This window comes from Homo sapiens, chromosome 12 (assembly GCF_000001405.40).
Source record: "Homo sapiens chromosome 12, GRCh38.p14 Primary Assembly".
Lineage (NCBI taxonomy): Eukaryota > Metazoa > Chordata > Mammalia > Primates > Hominidae > Homo > Homo sapiens.
Genome location: NC_000012.12, coordinates 119864857 through 119882680, shown reverse-complemented (window position 1 = coordinate 119882680; position 17824 = coordinate 119864857). Strand labels below are relative to the sequence as shown.

Here is a 17824-nt window from a genome sequence, read left to right as displayed (position 1 = left end):
TGTTGCTCTGTTTAACTTTTTGAGGAACTGCCAAACTGTATTCCAAAGTGGCTGAATCATTTTACATTCCCACCAGCAGTTTAGGAGGGATCCATTTTCTTACACCCTCACCAATACTTGTTATTGTCTTTCTGTTTATTTATAACTATCCCAGGGGACATGAAGTGTTATTGTGATTTTGATTTGCATTTCCCTAATGACTAATGTTGTTGGGCATCTTTTCACGTGCTTTTTGGCTATTGGCATATATTTTTTGGAGAATTGTCTGTTCAAATCTTTTGCTCGTTTTTAAATTGGGCTATTTGTTTTTTATTGTCAGACTGTAGGAATTCTTTGTACATAATGGATGCTAGTTTCTCATTAGATATTTGATTTACACATTTTTCTCCCAGTTTGTGAGTTGCTGGCTTTAGATTTTACAAAGCATTTCACATCTCTTAGCTTTTAAATCTCCCTATAGCTAGGCAAAAATTTAGGCTCAGAGGTTAAATGATGTGTGCAGAATCAGAAGTTTGTTCATATGTGAATTCAATAAACTTTTATTGAGAGCCTACAAAGTTGACTGTTGCTAGGCTAGAAAGATCAAGTGTCTAGAATTTGATTTCCATTTCAGTTAATTTTTTAATTTTTTAATTTTATTTTTTGAGACAGAGTCTCACTGTGTCACCCAGGCTGGAGTGCAATGGTGAGATCTTGGCTCACTGCAACCTCCGCATCCTGGGTTCAAATGATTCTCCTGCCTCAGCCTCCTGAGTAGCTGGGATTATAGGCATGTGCCACTCTGCCTGGCCGATTTTTTTGTATTTTTAGTAGAGATGGTGTTTCACCATGTTGGCCAGGTTGATCTTGAACTCCTGACCAACTTCAGGTGATCCTTATGCCTTGGCCTCCCAAAGTGCCAGGATTACAGGCATGAGCCACCATGCCCGGCCTCCATTTCAGTTTAAAACCTCAAATGGAACACCATTGGAATGAGAGAAAGTGAGGGGAAAGAAGAGAAAAGGACAGAAGAAAGTGGAGAGGAAATCAAGTTGTATGTCCTTTGCTTGTGTATAGTGCTTGGGAATCTCTTCCTTTTGTATACCCATCTTCACTTAAGGCTCCAAATATGAAAACACGAAACACTTATTTTAGAATTCAGTCCTTACTTAAGCCGAGTATAACCCATACTCCCCAGTCTCCTTCTGTTAAATTACTTAGCCATCACCCTCTTTGGTTTCACCATAGTAGATCACAGAGCAAGGACTGGAAGGCCCATTCTGAGGTATCCACTTTGCATCTGAGCCAGTGTGAGAGTGGGTCCTCTCCATAGGGACGGACTCTTGTTAACAAAGATTGATAATAAAGCCACATTGTCAGTTTATTAACTTACAATGAAAAATACACTTTGACATTTGGTTAGTAGTATATTTGCCCTTTCTAGGCAAGTGGTTCATGACATTGGCTGCACATTGGGGTCACTTGGTGTATTAGTCTGTTTTCACACTGCTGATAAGGACATACCTGAGACTGGGCATTTACAAAAGGAAGAGGTTTAATGGACTTGCAGTTCCACATGGCTGGGGAAGCCTCACAATCATGGCAGAGGGCAAGGAGGAGCAACTCACATCTTATGTGGATGGTGGCAGACAAGAGAAGAGGGCTTGTGCAGAGAATCTCCCCCTTATAAAACCATCAGATCTCATAAGACTTATTCTCTATCATGAGAACACCACAGGAAAGACCTGCCACCATGATTCAATTACCTCCCACCAGGTCCCTCCCACAACACGTGGGAATTCAAGATGAGATTTGGGTGGGGCCACAGCCAAACCATATCACTTGGGGAGCTTGATCAACTTCCAATTCCTAGGCTTGATCCTGGAACAGTGAAATGAGGATCTCCAAGGATGGGGCCCAGGTATCAATGTTATTTTAAAGCTTCCCAGGTGATCTCAGTGTGAATGCAAGGTTGTGAACCACTGCTTCTGGAATACCTGCACCATGAGAAGGTATAATAAATGGTGTGTGTAGAATCAGAAGGCAATTCATTTGTAAATTCAGTACACTTCTATTGAGAGCCTGCAAAGTTGATTGTTGGTAGGCTGGAAAGAAGTAATTAAATTGTAATCAAATGCACATGGAGTTAGATTTCATCATTTAGTCCACAAATATTTATAAATATTATGTGCTAGGTGCTGGGATAAACATAAGTCAATACAGTTTGGTGGTTATCAAAATGGGCTTTAGAATGAAAGAACCAACTGATGTCCTGGCTCCACTGTTTACTAGTATGTGACTTAATTTCTCTAAGCTTGAATTTCTCTGCTGGTAAAATGGGGTTGCTAACAATAATGCCTACTTCAGAGGCTTGCTTAAGAATTATGTCAAATGATGCAGTGTTTCCCAAATTTCAAGATTTGTTCTAAAGCTATACCCATGTACAACCTGTACTACTGTTTACTTAATATTTCCTTTACTGGCTCATTTTTTCTTCTTAAATATTTCCTTTGGTCTCACTCCAAGTGGTATCATCTATAAAATACTTGGTTGGATGGGCTAGCTATAGTTTTTCTAACATATAGTAAAATATATAATTTAACAAATAAGTGACTTTTTTTGCCACTTGAAAGTGTTGCTCATACCAGTTGTGGGGACACATCTTTGGGAAACAGGGAATATCTGGGATATTTGCCTCTGAGCCAGCGTGAGAGTGGCTCCTTTCCATAGGGGTGGATGCTAATAATAGTGCCTACTTCAGGGGCTATTGAAGGCTTGCACCTAGAAACCTAGAAAGCACTCAGCCAATGATAATTATTCTTTTTTTTTTTTACCGAGTCTCACTGTCTCACCCAGGCTGGAGTGCAGTGGCAAGTGAGATCTCAGCTCACTGCAACCTCCGCCTCCCAGGTTCGAGTGATTCTCCTGCTTTACCCTCCTGAGTAGCTGGGATTACAGGCACCTGCCACCTCGCCAGGCTAATTTGTATTTTTAGTAGAGATGGGGTTTTACCACATTGGCCAGTCTGGTCTCAAATTTCTGACCTCAAGTGATCCACCAATCTTGGCCTCCCAAAGTGTTGGGATTACAGGCATGAGCCATTGGGTCTGGCCAGTTATTTTCTTTATATAGAAGTTTCTGGGCTGGGCGCAGTTGCTCACACCTGTAATCCCAGCACTTTGGGAGGTCGGGGCAGGATGATTGCTTGAGTACAGGAATTTGAGATCAGCTTGGGTAGCATAGGGAGACCCCATCTCTACAAAAAAAAAAACCCAAAAAAACAAAAAAACAGCCAGGCATGGTGGTACATTCTTGTGGTCCCAGCTACTGGAAGGGCTGAGGTGGGATGATCACTTGAGCCTGGAGAGGTGGAAGCTGCAGTAAGCCGTGATTGTGCCACTGAACTCCAGCTTGGGTGACGGAGTGAGATTCTGTCTAAGAAAAAAGAAAAAAAAAGAGGTGCTTGATAAATAGTAGCTATCCATTATTGGCCCCGGGAACAAGAAGTAAGTTATGTTTGGGGAAGGAAAAAAGAACAAATGTGTATTAAGCAAGCCTGTAGCTCTAATTATGTGCTGGTGTGCGTGTGTGTGTGTGTGTGTGTGAGAGAGAGAACACATCTCCAGTTCTGTCTACTGTAGAATTAGGAGAGTACAAAAAGGACTTTACATATATAAATAGAACATACACACACACACATGCGTGCACACATATACACACAATTTAATCATTATGAAACCACATCCATATTGTTGCTACCTAGGTTAAGAAATAGATCACAGCAGCACCCCAACACCCTGAAAGGCCTCCATCCCAACCCCAGGTAACTACTATTCTGGCTGTTGCTTTCTTTATGGTTTTGTCATTACTTTAAACAATGACAAAAACTGCAATGATTTGCATCAACCTAATACATCCCTCCTTAAACAATGTTGCTTTGTTTTGTCCTGTTTTGGAACTTATAAGAATGGAATCATAATGGAATCATATGTTATTTTCTTGCTTCCTTCATTAGGCCTTGTTTTGAGACTCATTATGTCATTGTGGTTAGTTGCAGTTTATTCTTTTTCATTGCTTGTGAAAACACTGCAATATACAATTTTGTCTTTTCTACTGCTGATGGACATTTATATCACTTCCAGTTTTTTGCGAACACTATTTTGTATTCTTATACACATCTCTTGGTGTACATAAGTAGGAGTTTCTCGCCGGCGTGGTGGCTCAGGGCCTGTAATCTCAGCACTTTGGGAGGCCGAGGTGGGCAGATCACTCGAGGTCAGGAGTTCAAGACCAGCCTGGACAACACGGTGAAACCCCATCTCTACTAAAAATACAAACAATTGGGCATGGTGGCATGCACCTGTAATCCCAGTTACTTGGGAGGATGAGACAAGAGAATAGCTTGAACCTGGGAGGTGGAGGTTGCAGTGAGGCGAGATCGTGCCATTGCACTCCAGCCTGGGAGACAGAGCAAGACTCCATCTCAAAATAAATAAATAAATAGGAGTTTTTCTTAGGTAGAGAAACTACACCTAGCAATAGTCATAGAATGCACAAATCTTCAATGTTAGCAAATAATGCCAAACTTTTTTTTCAAATTTCAAAGAGATTGTATCCATTTACACGCCTACGGGTACTGTATAAGTGTGTGTACTTCCACATCTTCGCAAACACTGTCACATCCTTTTGTTGTTGTTGTTCTCGAATTTGAGTGTTATTCTTTCTCACTGTGACTTTATTTTTCATATTTTCTGATTATGAACGAGGTTGACAACTTTCACACATTTGTTGGTCATCTGGATTTCCTTTTTGGTGAAGTGCCTGTTTAAGTATCTCGTCTATAATTTATTTTAAAGTGTCCTTTCAGACAGTCTCAATGACTGTCACCAACTCCTTGCAGGGCAGTCAGCCCGGAGATAGAGTAATCAAGGTAGGTTGAAGTCAAGCTCAAAACATTCGCTGCCTCAGCTGTAGCAGAGGACCACTGGGCTTCCCCAGGTAACAAGTACTTCTACCTTAGCCACATGAGAGAGAAAGAAGACCAGGCAGAGCAGCCTGGCTGCCTTCCTCCTTGCAGGTGGCCGAGAGCAGGGGACAGCGCCCTGGCGACCTCCTCAGGGATCCTAGATTAACAGTCGCGTCCTCAAACGCAGCATCCTGCGTAACCGCCAATTTCAAACTTCCAAGACCTGCCCTGCTGATTTTGCCCTTCCCTTTTTCCCGTTGGTCGCGAGTCAAAGGAAGATGCAATTTGATTGGCTCTCCCCTTCACTTTCCTCCATGCCTTTAGGGACATGGGCGGGGCCTGGCTGAGACGCCCATGTCTATCATAGGAGCGGAGACGCTGATTGGTCCAAACACGGCTGAGACCCGCCCGCGCCGTTCCTCGGGTTCAAACGCGGCGGCGGGAGGCGCGGGGCGGAACAGATCGCAGACCTGGGGGTTCGCAGAGCGTGAGTCTGATCCCCCAGACCCAATTCTACCGCACCCGGCTCTGCAAGGCCAGGGGAGGGCCGCCTCCACCCATACAAGTCCCGGGTTTCCCTCCCGCCCCGGGGAGGGCGGCGATTCCACCCCCAGGGCTGCGGGAGGCCTGGAGGGTCTTCCGGGGCTAGCTGTGCGCGCGCCCACCTTCCTTGGGAGCCGAGGGGTCAGCCGAGTGGTGCTGGGGCAGGAGGCTTGCTCCTCCCCTAAACCAGGCGGAGTGCTTTGTCTCTTCAGCTCTGCCTCCTGTCAGCACTAACTGCATTATTCTGCCCAGTGTAGTCGGCCGGTTCCTTATTATCTGCGTGAACTTAGCCATTTACTTAACCTCTCTGTTTCAGCGTATTCATACCCCGTGCCCACCCCATCACCTCATGATGCCCCCGCCTCTTTCGCTCTGCTCCAGTCCGTCTGGCCTCGCTGTTGCTGGAGAGGCCAGGTCCTGCCTCAGTGCTTTTGGCTTGGCTGTTTCGTTTGCCACGGATGTCTTTCTTTCCCCAGATATCAACATGGCTTGCTGGTCATTCGCTTCAGGTCTTCAAGTCTTGGGTCAAATGGTGGCTTCTCAGTGAAGTCTTATTTGACCACACTAAAAATTGCACCATCTCACCCCCATTGTCCTTTTCTTGCTCGATTTTGTTTTTACCCCATAGCACTTAACACCTTACAACAAGCTATATATTTTGCTTATTTCAGTCATTCATTTAATAACTATTCGCACCTATTTGTGTGCCAGGCTATGTGTGCCCCCACTGCATGGGGGCAAACATCTCTGCCCTTGTGGAGCTTCCATTCTAAGGGGGGAGATAATAAACACATTTATAAGTAAGAGAGTATGTCAGATAAGTGTATCATCTCCTGTCACAGTGAGTTAAAATCTGGTGTTTAATCTCCATGATTAGACTGAGCTTCCTAAAACTGGAGTGGTAGCTGATTTTCACCTCCTTGTCCCTGATATCTTGAGGGAGATCAGGATCTCTCAGGCCCTTCCTGCTCAAAACATAGGACACACTTGACTTTTCTGATATCCTTTCAGCGCCAGTGGGGAGATGTTGAAGTTCAAATATGGAGCGCGGAATCCTTTGGATGCTGGTGCTGCTGAACCCATTGCCAGCCGGGCCTCCAGGCTGAATCTGTTCTTCCAGGTAACAGCCTACCCTGCCAACTTTGCTCACCTGTGTGTGTCCTTGGAATCTCCTTGTCACTCACCTTTGCTTTTATTTATTTGTTTATTTATTTAGAGTCTCAGTCTCTCAGGCTGGAGTACAGTGGTGCAATCTCAGCTCACTGCAACCTCCGCCTCCTGGGTTCAAGCGATTCTCCTGCCTCAGCCTCCAGAGTAGCTGGGACTACAGCCGCCTGCCACCACACCCGGCTAAATTTTGTATTTTTCTTTTTAGTAGAGACGGGGTTTCACCATGTTGGCCAGGCTAGGGTCGAACTCCTGACCTCAAGTGATCCACCTGCCTTGGCCTCCTAAAGTGCTGGGATTACAGGCATGAACCGTGCCCAGCTTGCTTTTATTATAGGACCAGGGATAATATTTTAGGGGAAATTCTGTTTTGTTTTGTTTGAAACAAGGTCTTCTGTCGACTCTAGGCCTGTGCCACCATGCCTGGCTAATTTTTTAATTTTTTGTAGGGATGGGGTCTCACTGTGTTGCCCAGGCTGATATAGAACACCTGACTTCAAGTGAGCCTCTTGCCTTGGCCTCCCAAAGCACTGGGGTTATAGGTGTGAGCCACTGCACCTGGCCCTCTATTTAGAGTTTTATATGCACTGATTCTTTTGGAAAAAAGACACTGTGCAGAAGTAGATAGCTGAACTTGCCTTAGAAGGGAGATCTTTTCATATTTCTCACACTTTACACTTCTGTACTAAAGTTTATTCATTCATTGATTGATTGGTTGCTTGCAAGACAGGGTCTTGCTCTGTGGCTCAGGCTGGAGTGCATTGGCACAATCACGGCTTACTGCAGCCTTGACCTCCTGGGCTCAAACGATCCTCCCACTTCAGCTTCCTGAGTAGCTGGGACCACAGGTGTGTGCCACCATACCTGGCTAATTTTTGTATTTTTTGTAGAGATGAGGTTTCACCATGTTGCCCAGGCAGGTCTCGAATTCCTGGGCTCAAGTGATCTACTTGTCACAGCTTCTGCAAGTGTTGGGCTTACAGGCATAAGCCCCTGTACCAGGGCAAGTTTGTCCTTTTATTGAAGAAAGAAAAATAAATGAACAAAGATGCTTTTTAAAACTACAATTTCTGTGGGTATAATCCTATTCATTTTCATTGCAGGGATGTTTATTTTTTAAGATTTTTTTTTTTTTTTTTTGAGACAGAGTCTTCGCTGTCGCCCAGGCTGGAGTGCAGTGGCGCGATCTCGGCTCACTGCAGGCTCTGCCCCCCGGGGTTCACGCCATTCTCCTGCCTCAGCCTCCCACGTAGCTGGGACTACAGGCGCCCGTCACCTCGCCCGGCTAATTTTTTGTATTTTTAGTAGAGACGGGGTTTCACTGTGTTAGTCAGGATGGTATTTTTTAAGATTTTAAAAAAAGTTTTGATGAATACCACACCTGTTTAACCCTCATTCCTCTCAAGATACACATTTCTGTCACCCCAGATGCGTTAAAACTTAATATCATAAGATTACTTCCAAATAGATTTTTAATTCTTTTGTTTCTGATGTATGTGGAACACTGGTGAAGTAGAAATCCTTGTTTGATTTATGTATTCGTAAGTCAGGGGGACAATAGAGACCATGAAGATTTAGAATTGAATCCCAGTCCCAGCACTAGTTAGCTGCATTACTTTGGGTGAGTCAGTTACCTTTTCTGAGTCCATTTGCTATTCTTTAAAATAGGTTGTAGCCTGTAATGCCAGTATTTTCGGAGGCTGAGGCGGGCGGATTACTTGAGGTCACGGGTTCGAGACCAGCCTGGACAACGTGGTGAAACCCTGTCTCTACTAAAAATATAGAAAATTAGCTGGGCATGGTGGTCGCATGTACCTGTAATCCCAGCTACTTGAAAAGCTGAAGCAGGAGAATCATTTGAACCCGGGAGGCGGAGGTTGTCGTGAGCCGAGATGGTGCACTGCACTCCAGCCTGGGCGACAGAGTGGGTAAGACTCCATCTCAAAACAAAACAAAACAAAAGAAAACAAAAAAAATAACATAGAGGTTGTAGTACCTAATCCACAGGGTTGTTGTGAGGATTAGATGAGATATTCGATTTAAAGCACTTAGCACCTTGCCTGGCTCTTAGTAAACTCCTTATAAAAAATGGTAATTATTGTTAATACTCAGCATAGAATAGTATTAGTTATAATATTAATACTAAATTTGTTTCCTTAATAGTAATTATATTTGGGAAGGTAGTTATGTAGGATACCTGTAAGATGATGAATGATGAAGTATTCTTGATAACTTTTTTTTTTTTCCAAAATATTGGTATTGGGTGTTTAAACAGATGAGAGTGGAAACAAATTGAAAGCTTAGGTTTTTCTGTGGGACCATCCCCATCAGCATTTTAAGTCTTGACATATCTTTCACAAATGAATAGTCTGTCTTTAACCTTAGATGGCTGGAGTGCTGCCACGTTTCAGCCCCTTTATCATGCTACTTTAAAATATCTCCAACTTGCTGGGCGTGGTGGCTCACGCCTGTAATCCTAGCAATTTGGGAGGCTGAGGTGGGTGGATTGCTTGAGGTCAGGAGTTCGAGAGCAGCCCGGGCAACATGGTGAGCCCCTCCGTTTCTACTAAAAACACAAAAAATAGCTGACTGTGATGGTGTGTGCCTGTAGTCCCAGCTACTCGGGAGGCTGAGGCAGGAGGATCACTTGAGCCCTAGAGGCAGAGGTTGCAGTGAGCTAAGATTGTGCCACTGCACTTCAGCACTTCAGCCTAGGCGACAGAGCAAGACCCTGTAAATTAAAAAAAAAAAAAAAAAGAAAAGGAAAAAAATTTCCAACTTATTAAGGGCTTATAGTGTGCTGATTATGTAATAGTTATGGCTTCCAATGTGTCTGGCATAGAACTGGCATGTTTCTGAGTATCTCACTTCAGCCTCATGACAGAGGTAAGGACTATTTTTAATTTAAACTTTAAATAGGAGGCAACAGGCCAGGTGTGGTGGCTCACACCTGTAATCCCAGTACTTTGGGAGGCTGAGGCAGGTGGATTGCTTGAGTCCAAGAGTTCAAGACTAGCCTGGGCAAAATGGTGAAACCCCATCTCTACAAAAAATATAAATAATTAGTCAGGCATGGCGGTGTGTGCCTGTAGTCCCAGCTACTCAGGAGGCTGAGGTGGGGGCATCTCTGGGGCCCCGGAGGCAGAGGTTGTAGTGAGTTGAGATTGCAACACTGCACTCCAGCCTGGGCAACAGAACGAGACCCTGTTTCTAAATAAATACATAAATAGGAGGCAACAGATATAGACAGATATGGAGGTAGGTAAGGCCTTGCCCAAGATCATACACGTTGGGTTTTGCAGATGAGGCCAAGATCAGACTCCATCTTTGGTTGGTCTGACTCCAAAGGCTGACCACATAGCCATTGGGCCACAGCACCTGTGCACGTCAGAATTTATTAAGTATATCTTGTATTTAGTCATTATAACAGGAAGACTTATGGGTAAACCCTCAGTTCATCTCTTTTTAATGCTGAGATCCCCCTGCCCAGTAAAGCTATTATTGCAAGTATAGTATATACCTATCATTTGCCTTGAGTTATCAGGTAAGGATGCTGTTTGTTCTTTTCCCATATAGTGCTGTTTGAATGAGGTTGAGATACAGTAGCAATTTTGTTTTCCATTCAGGTGAGTACCTTAGACTGAGTGTCATTTTGTCTTTTTTACTTCTACTCAACAGGATTTCCTGACATGTTCGAGGTCAGTGATTGTCAGACTTTCTGAGCCAGCAAAATTTCCCAAATTGCTGGGTAGACACAGGTTTTCCAACTTTTTATTTTGCCAAGTAAGGATATATAAAAAAAAAATAAAAAGAAAGACCTATTATTTTCTGGCCCTTGTATTTCATAAAGGGCATTTTAAGAAACAACAAGACAGGAAGAACATCATCTCAGAATAAAGGACCATTTTTAAATTTGAATACATTTAGTTTTATAAAAAAGATATCATGTGGTGTTCATTTTTTCTCATTTCACTGCAGGCTGTTGAAAACTTTGTTAAGAACCAGTACTATATTTGGGAACCCCTGCTTTAATTGATCTAAACTCTTGAAGAATAGAAGAAACAAAGCATTTTATTTTTCTGAGTTACTGGCAACTATTACTAAAGTGACAGATATGGTGGCCTTGAATGCAGTGCTTCCCAAACCTGATTGAGGTCTGACTCTCTTGGGGACCAGGGTCTCATTCTGTTGCCCAGGCTGGAGTGTGGCAGCACAATCTTGGCTCACTGCAGCCTTTACTTCTTGGGCTCAAGTGATCCTTCTACCTCAGTCTCACAAGTGGCTAGGACTACAGGACCATGGCACTACACCTGGCTAATTTTTTTTTGTTTGTTTGTAGAGATGGGATCTCGCTGTGTTGCCCTGGCTGGTCTTGAACTCCTGGGCTCAAGTGATCCTCCCACCTTGGCCTCCCAAAGTGCTAGTATTCCAGGTGTGAGCCACCTCTCCCTGCTGGGGAACTTGTTAATAAAACAGATTCTAGGCTACAGTCTGGAAAATTCTAATTCATTTGGTTGTGGGGGAGGGGGGCATAGGACCAGAGAATGTGTTTGTTTGTTTGTTTGTTTTTCTTAAATTCTCCAGTGCTGTTGTGATTCAAATGCAGCCGGTCTGTTTCTGTTATCAAGTGCTGTGTAACAAAGCACTCACAAAGTTTAAAGCAACAATGATTTATTTTTTCTTAGGATTCTGTGGGTTGGCTGGACTCAGCTAGGTAGTTCTGCTTCATCCTGTGATGTCAGCTGGGGTCACTTGTGGGGCTACATTCAGCTGGGATTATGTCTGGGACTGGAACATGTGGGTGCTGACTGCTGGCTGGGGCACCTTAGTGTTTCTCACATGGCCTCTCTTCTCCATGAGGTCTTTCAGTAGTATAGCCCAGGACTCGTAACTTTTTTTTTTTTTTTAAGACAGACTGTCGCCCTGTCGCCCAGGCTGGAGTGCAGTGGCACGATCTCTGCTCACTGCAACCTCCGCCTCCTGGGTTCAAGCAATTCTCCTGCCCCAGCCTCCCGAGTAGCTGGGATTACAGGCACGTGCCTCCACGCCCGGCTAATGTTTGCATTTTTAGTAGAGATGGGGTTTCACCACGTTGGTCAGGCTGGTCTCGAACTTCTGACCTCGCGATCCGCCTGCCTCGGCCTCCCAAAGTGTTGGAATTACAGGTGTGAGCCACTGCACCTGGCTGACTCGTAACTTTTTTTGTAAGTAATAAATATTTTAGGCTTTGTGGGTCCTGTAGTCTCTGTTGCAACCACTCAACTTGGCCATGGTAGCACAAAAGCAGCTAAAGACAATATGTAAATGATGGGTGTAGCTGTGTTCCAGTAAAACTTATAAAAAGTCCGTGGGCTGGATTTGGTCCAAGGGCTACAGATTGCACACCCCTGGTCTAGCCCAAGCATCTGTGCATGGTGGCTGGCTTCCCAAAAGTGGAAGCTGCTAAGCTGCCTTTTTTTTTTTTTTTTTTTTTTTTGAGAGGGAGTCTCACTGTGTTGCCTAGGCTGGAGTGCGGTGGTGTGATCTCGGCTCACTGCAACCTCCATCTCCCGGGTGCAGGCAATTCTCATGCCTCAACCTCCCAGGTAGCTGGGATTACGGGTGCCTACCACCACGCCTGGCTAATTTTTGTATTTTGGTAGAGACAGGGTTTCACCATGTTGGCCAGGCTGGTCTCAAACTCCTGACCTCAAGTGATCCACCCGTCTTGGCCTCCCAAAGTGCTGGGATTACAGATGTGAGCCACCGTGTCTGGCCGCTTGACAAGCTTCTTAAAGGCACTGCCCTGAACTGGCACAGTGTCACTTGTGTCACATTCTTTTGGTTGAAGAGAGTCTCAGAGATGGCACAGATTCAAAGGCAGGAGAAATAGACTCCAGCGCTTAAAGTAAGGAGTAGCATGTGCCTACAGAATTGGAGGAACTGTTGGAGGCCATCTTTGAAGAGAGACCACCACTATCCATGGCTTGGCACGTGGGAATCACTGCTCTATACCAGGGTTGCAGACTCATGTCTTTGGGGGCCAGGCAGTGAGTATAAATGAGTCAAGTGGGCCAGTTGGAAGATGGAGTCAGACCTGCAGTGAACTCCCAAACACATCTGCTACCGGGAGGGGCAGCATTACTCAGCTCCAGCTCAGCGTCATCAGGCAGGAAGGCGAGGCAGTGTTGCCGGATGTGCCAGTGTTTCAAAAGAAGCCAGAGACTCCATTTTTATTTTTTTGTATGGAATCTCCTGATTTTGAAATATTGGCAGATAATTCAAATTATCTTAAACACTACAGGCCAAACAAAACATATCTGTGGGCTAGAGACAGTCTGCCAGTTTGTAACTATTTCTCCAGATCATGAGTAAATTTGGCTTTACGATGGTCACTCAGTTCTTATTACTCTAGGTTGTTCAAATGAATTAAAAAAGCTGAAATTATATGAATAAACCCCTGGGCACACATGAAAGAAGTGAAAAACCCATTGTTTCCTATTGTAGAAACATGGAAGCATGTCAGAGCCAGAGGATCCAGAGGAAATATTCTCACTAGCCTCAGACCCTCAGGAGTGAGGGAGCTTTTCTTGTTAATGGCCACGCTTGTGCAGTTTTCCTTCCCAGGTGCTGGTGAAAGAAACCCACAGTCTTGGAATCATGGAAGTGATACCATAATGACTGTCAGTTGACGTTGCTTTAAAGAATGAAGCCACAGAATTGTGCTGTTAGCATGTCGTGAGCAGTTAGTTGAGTTGGTGGCTTGTAATTTACTCTGTGTGGATGTTATTGATCAAAGCTTTTCATTATTGACAGTGTCTCCATCTGCTGTTTGCTGTTTTTAGGGGAAACCACCCTTTATGACTCAACAGCAGATGTCTCCTCTTTCCCGAGAAGGGATATTAGATGCCCTCTTTGTTCTCTTTGAAGAATGCAGTCAGCCTGCTCTGATGAAGATTAAGCACGTGAGCAACTTTGTCCGGAAGTGTAAGTTTGGGGAACTTTTTCTTGAAAACTGTCCTGAGAGAGAAAAACTAGAAAGATGCTTGAGGCAGAATGAGTTACTGGTTGATAGTAGTCGGTAAGAACTCTGGTTCTATATAAGACAGATCCAGGTTCAAATTCAGGCTGCACCTCTTATAGCTGGGAGACCAGGTAAGTTGGGCTTCTTGGTTGCAAGCGACAAACTTAATTCAAAGACTGAATTTAGGCCAGGTGCAATGGCTCATACCTATAATCTCAGCCCTTTGGGAAGCTGAGGTGGGTGAATCGCTTGAGCCCAGGAGTTCAAGACCAGCTTGGGCAACATGGTGAAACCCCATCTCTACAAAAAATACAAAAATTAGCTGGGTATGGTGGCTTGCACCCGTGGTCCCAGCTGCTGAGGAGGCTGAGGTGGGAGGATCACTGGAGCCCGGGAGGTTGAGGCTCAATGAGCTGTGATTGTGCCATTGCACTCCAGTCTGGGTGACAGAGTGAGACCCTGTGTGAATAAAAGAGTGAATTTATTGGCTCATGAAACTGAGAAATCCAGGAATGAGTTAAGTTTTAGCTTTAGGCATAGCTAGTTCCAGAGACCTCAATAATATCCCGTGGCCCTGTCCTTATACTCACTCAGGGCTGACTTTCTATTAGGCAGAGTAGGCACGGTGCTTAGGATCTGTGATATTTAATTTTAATGAATTTAATTACTTTTAATTAACTGAATTAAATTTTAATTTGTTTTAAAATTATAGGAAAAATGAATATAATAATGTATAATGATTCTGGATTACATTCATCTTTATACTAATGTAGTCATAAAATATAATTTTTGTTTTTTTTGGAGACAGAGTCTTGCCCTATTACCCAGGCTGGATTGCAGTGGTATATCATGGCTCACTGCAGTTTCAACCTTCTAGGCTCAAGCAATCCTTCCACCCCAGTGGCTGGGACTACAGGCTCACACTACCACGCCCAGCTAATTTTTGCTTTTTTCTCTGTAGAGATAGGGTCTTACTATGTTACCCAGGCTGGTTTCAAACTCCAGGCTTGAAGCAGTCTTCCTGCCTCAGCCTCCCAAAGCTTTGGGATTACAGGTGTGAGCCACCATGCCTGGCCCCATAAAATATAATTTTTGAATTCTTTTTTGTTTTTAATGGAGGAAGGGGCTGAGGAAGGCAAAAGTACCTAGGGCCTATGAAGTCATATATTGGCCTTGCCTTCACCCTGTTTCTGACTTTGCTTGACTTCCATGTGATGAGGCAGTTGGCTGTTAGTGTCCCAGTTTCATACTCTTACATTAGTGTTTTTCAACCAGTGGGTGATTTGACGTTTTCGGTTGTCAGAGCTAGTTGGGGGTGGTGGTGTGTGAGTTTGGGGGGAAGGGTCCTACTGTCAGTTAATGGGTGAGGCCAGAGATGCCACCAAACACCTTACAGTGCACAAAGCAGCCCCCATAACACAGAATTATGTAGCCCACAATGCCAACAGTGCTGAATTTGAGAAACCCCACCTTGTACAACATTGCTGTGCAACCAACCACCCTAAATATTACTGACTTAAAACAATAGTCACTGTGGCTGGGCGCGGTGGCTCATGCGTGTAAGCCCAGCGCTTTGGGAGGCTGAGGCGGCGGATCACTTGAGGTCAGGAGTTCCAGACCAGCCTGGCCAACATGGTGAAACCTTGTCTCTACTAAAAATACAAGAATTAGCTGAATGTGGCAGCGGGCGCCTGTAATCCCAGCCATTTGGGAGGCAGAGGCAGGAGAATCGCTTGAACCTGGGAGGTGGAGGTTGCAGTGAGCCAAGATCTCACCATTGCACTCCAGCTTGGGCAATGAGTGAGACTCTGTCTTAAAAAAAAAAAAAAGTTATTGTATTACCTCTTGTGTGTGTAGGTTAATTGGACTCAGCTGGGGATTCCTCTGCTCTGTATTACATTGGCCAGGATTGCAGTCACCTGGGGCTCTCCTGGGCTGGAATGTGTGAGAGGGCTTACTCAGTGTTTGGTGCCCTGGCTTGGAGGCTGGGCCCAGCTGGGCCTCTCTCTCTTCATGAAGTTTCAGGGCCTTTTGCTGTCCACATGGCACCTCTATGTGGTCTCCAAATCAGAAGTCAAGGAACTACAGCCTGTGATGCCTATTTTGTAAAGAAGGTTTTACTGGAACACAGCCCTACCCATGTGTTTGTACAGTGCCTATGGCTGCTTTCACATCATAACAGCATTTTATTTCATTTTATTTATTTTTTTTTGAGACAAAGTCTCACTCTGGCTGGAGTGCAGCAGCACAATCATAGCTCACTGCAGCCTCCAACTCTTGGGCTCAAGCAATCCTCCTGTCTCAGCCTCCTCAGTAGCTAGTACTACAGGCCCATGCCACCACTAATGGCTAATTTTTTAATTTTGTGTAGAGATGGGACCTTGTGAGATTGCCTAGGCTGGTCTTGAACTCCTGGCCTCAAGAAATCCTCCCACCTTGGCCTCCCAAAATGCTTGGATTACAGGCATGAGCCACTGTGCCCAGCCCACAACAGCATTTGAGTAGTTGTGATAGAGACCAAATGGCCTACAAAGCCCAAAATAGTTCCTGTTTGGCCCATTTCGAAAAGGCTTGCTGACCTCTGAGCTACATGGTCTCTCTAGCAGGACAGCCTCGACGGTAGCTCAGGTTTCCAAAACACAAAAGTGGAAGCTGCCAGGCTTTCTTAGGGGTTATCCTAGGAGGGACATAGGATCTCTTTGACTGCATTTTATTGTTTGATGCATGCTCTGGGGCTGCTCAAATTCCACCTGAGAGGAAACTACACAAGGTCATGAATCCCAAGAGGACTGGGGCATTGGGTGCTATTTTTGGAGACTGGCTACCACACCCTGCCCAATGGTAATCTTCCCTTATCTAGATTAATACAACCCCAGGGAAGATTCTAACTTGGCTCTGCTTTGGGTCATTTGCCTCCCTGGAGGTGAGGTGTTGTGATCGGTTTTGTTGGAATGCCCAAAGGGGTCAGGGCAGTGTGATTACCAGGACCTCATGGAATGGGGGATGCGTGGTTATGCAAAGGAGCCGGGGATGCTGGGTAGAAAAAAAATCAGCATATGTTCACTATAGTGCTCTTCAGTATTTTACATGTACTTTGTTCTCAGTTTTCTCATCTGTAAAATAGGAATAATGTATATCCTTTTTTTTTTTTTTTTTTTGGAGTCTTGCTCTGTTGTCCAGGCTGGAGTACAGTGGCACAATCTCAGCTCACTGCAACCTCCGCATCCCGGGTTCAAGTGATTCTCCTGCCTCAGCCTCCTCAGTAGCTGGGACTACAGGCGTGCACCACCACACTCAGCTAGTTTTTGTATTTTTAGTAGAGATGGGGTTTCGCCATGTTGGCCAGGCTGGTCTCAAACTCCTGACCTCAAGTGATCTGCCTGCCTCGGCCTCCGAAAGTGCTGGAATTACAGGCATGAGCCACCACGCCCATTGGGAATAATGTATATCTAATGAGGCTGTGTTGGAATTGAATGAGTTAATGCACAGACCAGATTTGTCATGTTGCCTGGCCCATAGGAGACAATAAATGGTACCCAGTATTAATAACTGTGAATGTCAACAACATTTAATATATTGTATATCTTCAAAATGTACTTGAGGTATTTGTTCATCATTCTGTTTTTGTTTGAATAAGCTCGTGCCTTCTTTTTGTGAATATTTAAATTTATAAGTAGCGAGTGGGAGGGGAAGGAAGTTATGTGATGAGGCTAGCTTACTGAGCCATCTGCAGGCACCTTCATTAGTCTTGAGACTGTCCTCTGGTTACTTAACAGCAGTGAATTATCTAGAATCATTTAGTGATCAGAAGACTTGGTTTAGTGGAATGTAGATTTTTTTCTAATAGACCCCTCTTCCAGGGAAATGTTTCATATTTTTGAAGAGGTTTCCTGGGGAGTGTTTAAGAGGCCATGATTGAAAATGGGTGATTACATTAGTGTGTTTTCTATTCCTCCCCTTTTTGAGTTTCTGTTTTGGAATGTAAGCTTTGTTTTTCTACGTGGAGAAGGGTCCCTCAGCTGCTTCTGCCCAGGTTTTTTGAATCTTCCTATAGGGATGGAGATTTTCTTTGGGGACTGTTAGAGAAAATGGAATAGAGTGTAGCTCTGAAGGAGAAGGATGTCTCCAGCAGAAGTACCTCTAGCCTTGGGCCAAGGGAGGGAAGG

At 44.5% G+C, this 17824-nt stretch overlaps 1 protein-coding gene across 12 annotated transcripts in view, besides 3 other annotated features; it reads left to right on the top strand.

The window, feature by feature from the left end:
- CIT (citron rho-interacting serine/threonine kinase) overlaps positions 5361–17824 on the top strand; it is a 191530-nt gene continuing 179066 nt past the window's right edge. For all 12 annotated transcript variants that reach the window (XM_011537788.2, XM_011537787.2, XM_047428134.1 and 9 more), the window contains exons 1-3: positions 5361–5432; positions 6500–6608; positions 13480–13621. In XM_011537788.2, the coding sequence (XP_011536090.1) occupies positions 6513–6608; positions 13480–13621 (238 nt within the window). In that variant the 5' untranslated portion in view covers positions 5361–5432; positions 6500–6512. The remainder of the gene's footprint in view (positions 5433–6499; positions 6609–13479; positions 13622–17824) is intronic.
- Positions 5602–5681: a silencer, noted in NCBI's record as "silent region_4931". NCBI's record gives its function as "represses an Ori minimal core promoter by ATAC-STARR-seq in GM12878 lymphoblastoid cells {active_cell/tissue: GM12878}" and the evidence as "EXISTENCE:reporter gene assay evidence [ECO:0000049][PMID:35858748]".
- Positions 5912–5971: an enhancer, noted in NCBI's record as "active region_7118". NCBI's record gives its function as "activates an Ori minimal core promoter by ATAC-STARR-seq in GM12878 lymphoblastoid cells {active_cell/tissue: GM12878}" and the evidence as "EXISTENCE:reporter gene assay evidence [ECO:0000049][PMID:35858748]".
- Positions 12584–13783: an enhancer, noted in NCBI's record as "MED14-independent group 3 enhancer chr12:120306702-120307901 (GRCh37/hg19 assembly coordinates)". NCBI's record gives its function as "activates an origin of replication core promoter dependent on BRD2, BRD4, P300/CBP and CDK7 cofactors, and independent of MED14, by STARR-seq in HCT116 cells {active_cell/tissue: HCT116}" and the evidence as "EXISTENCE:reporter gene assay evidence [ECO:0000049][PMID:35650434]".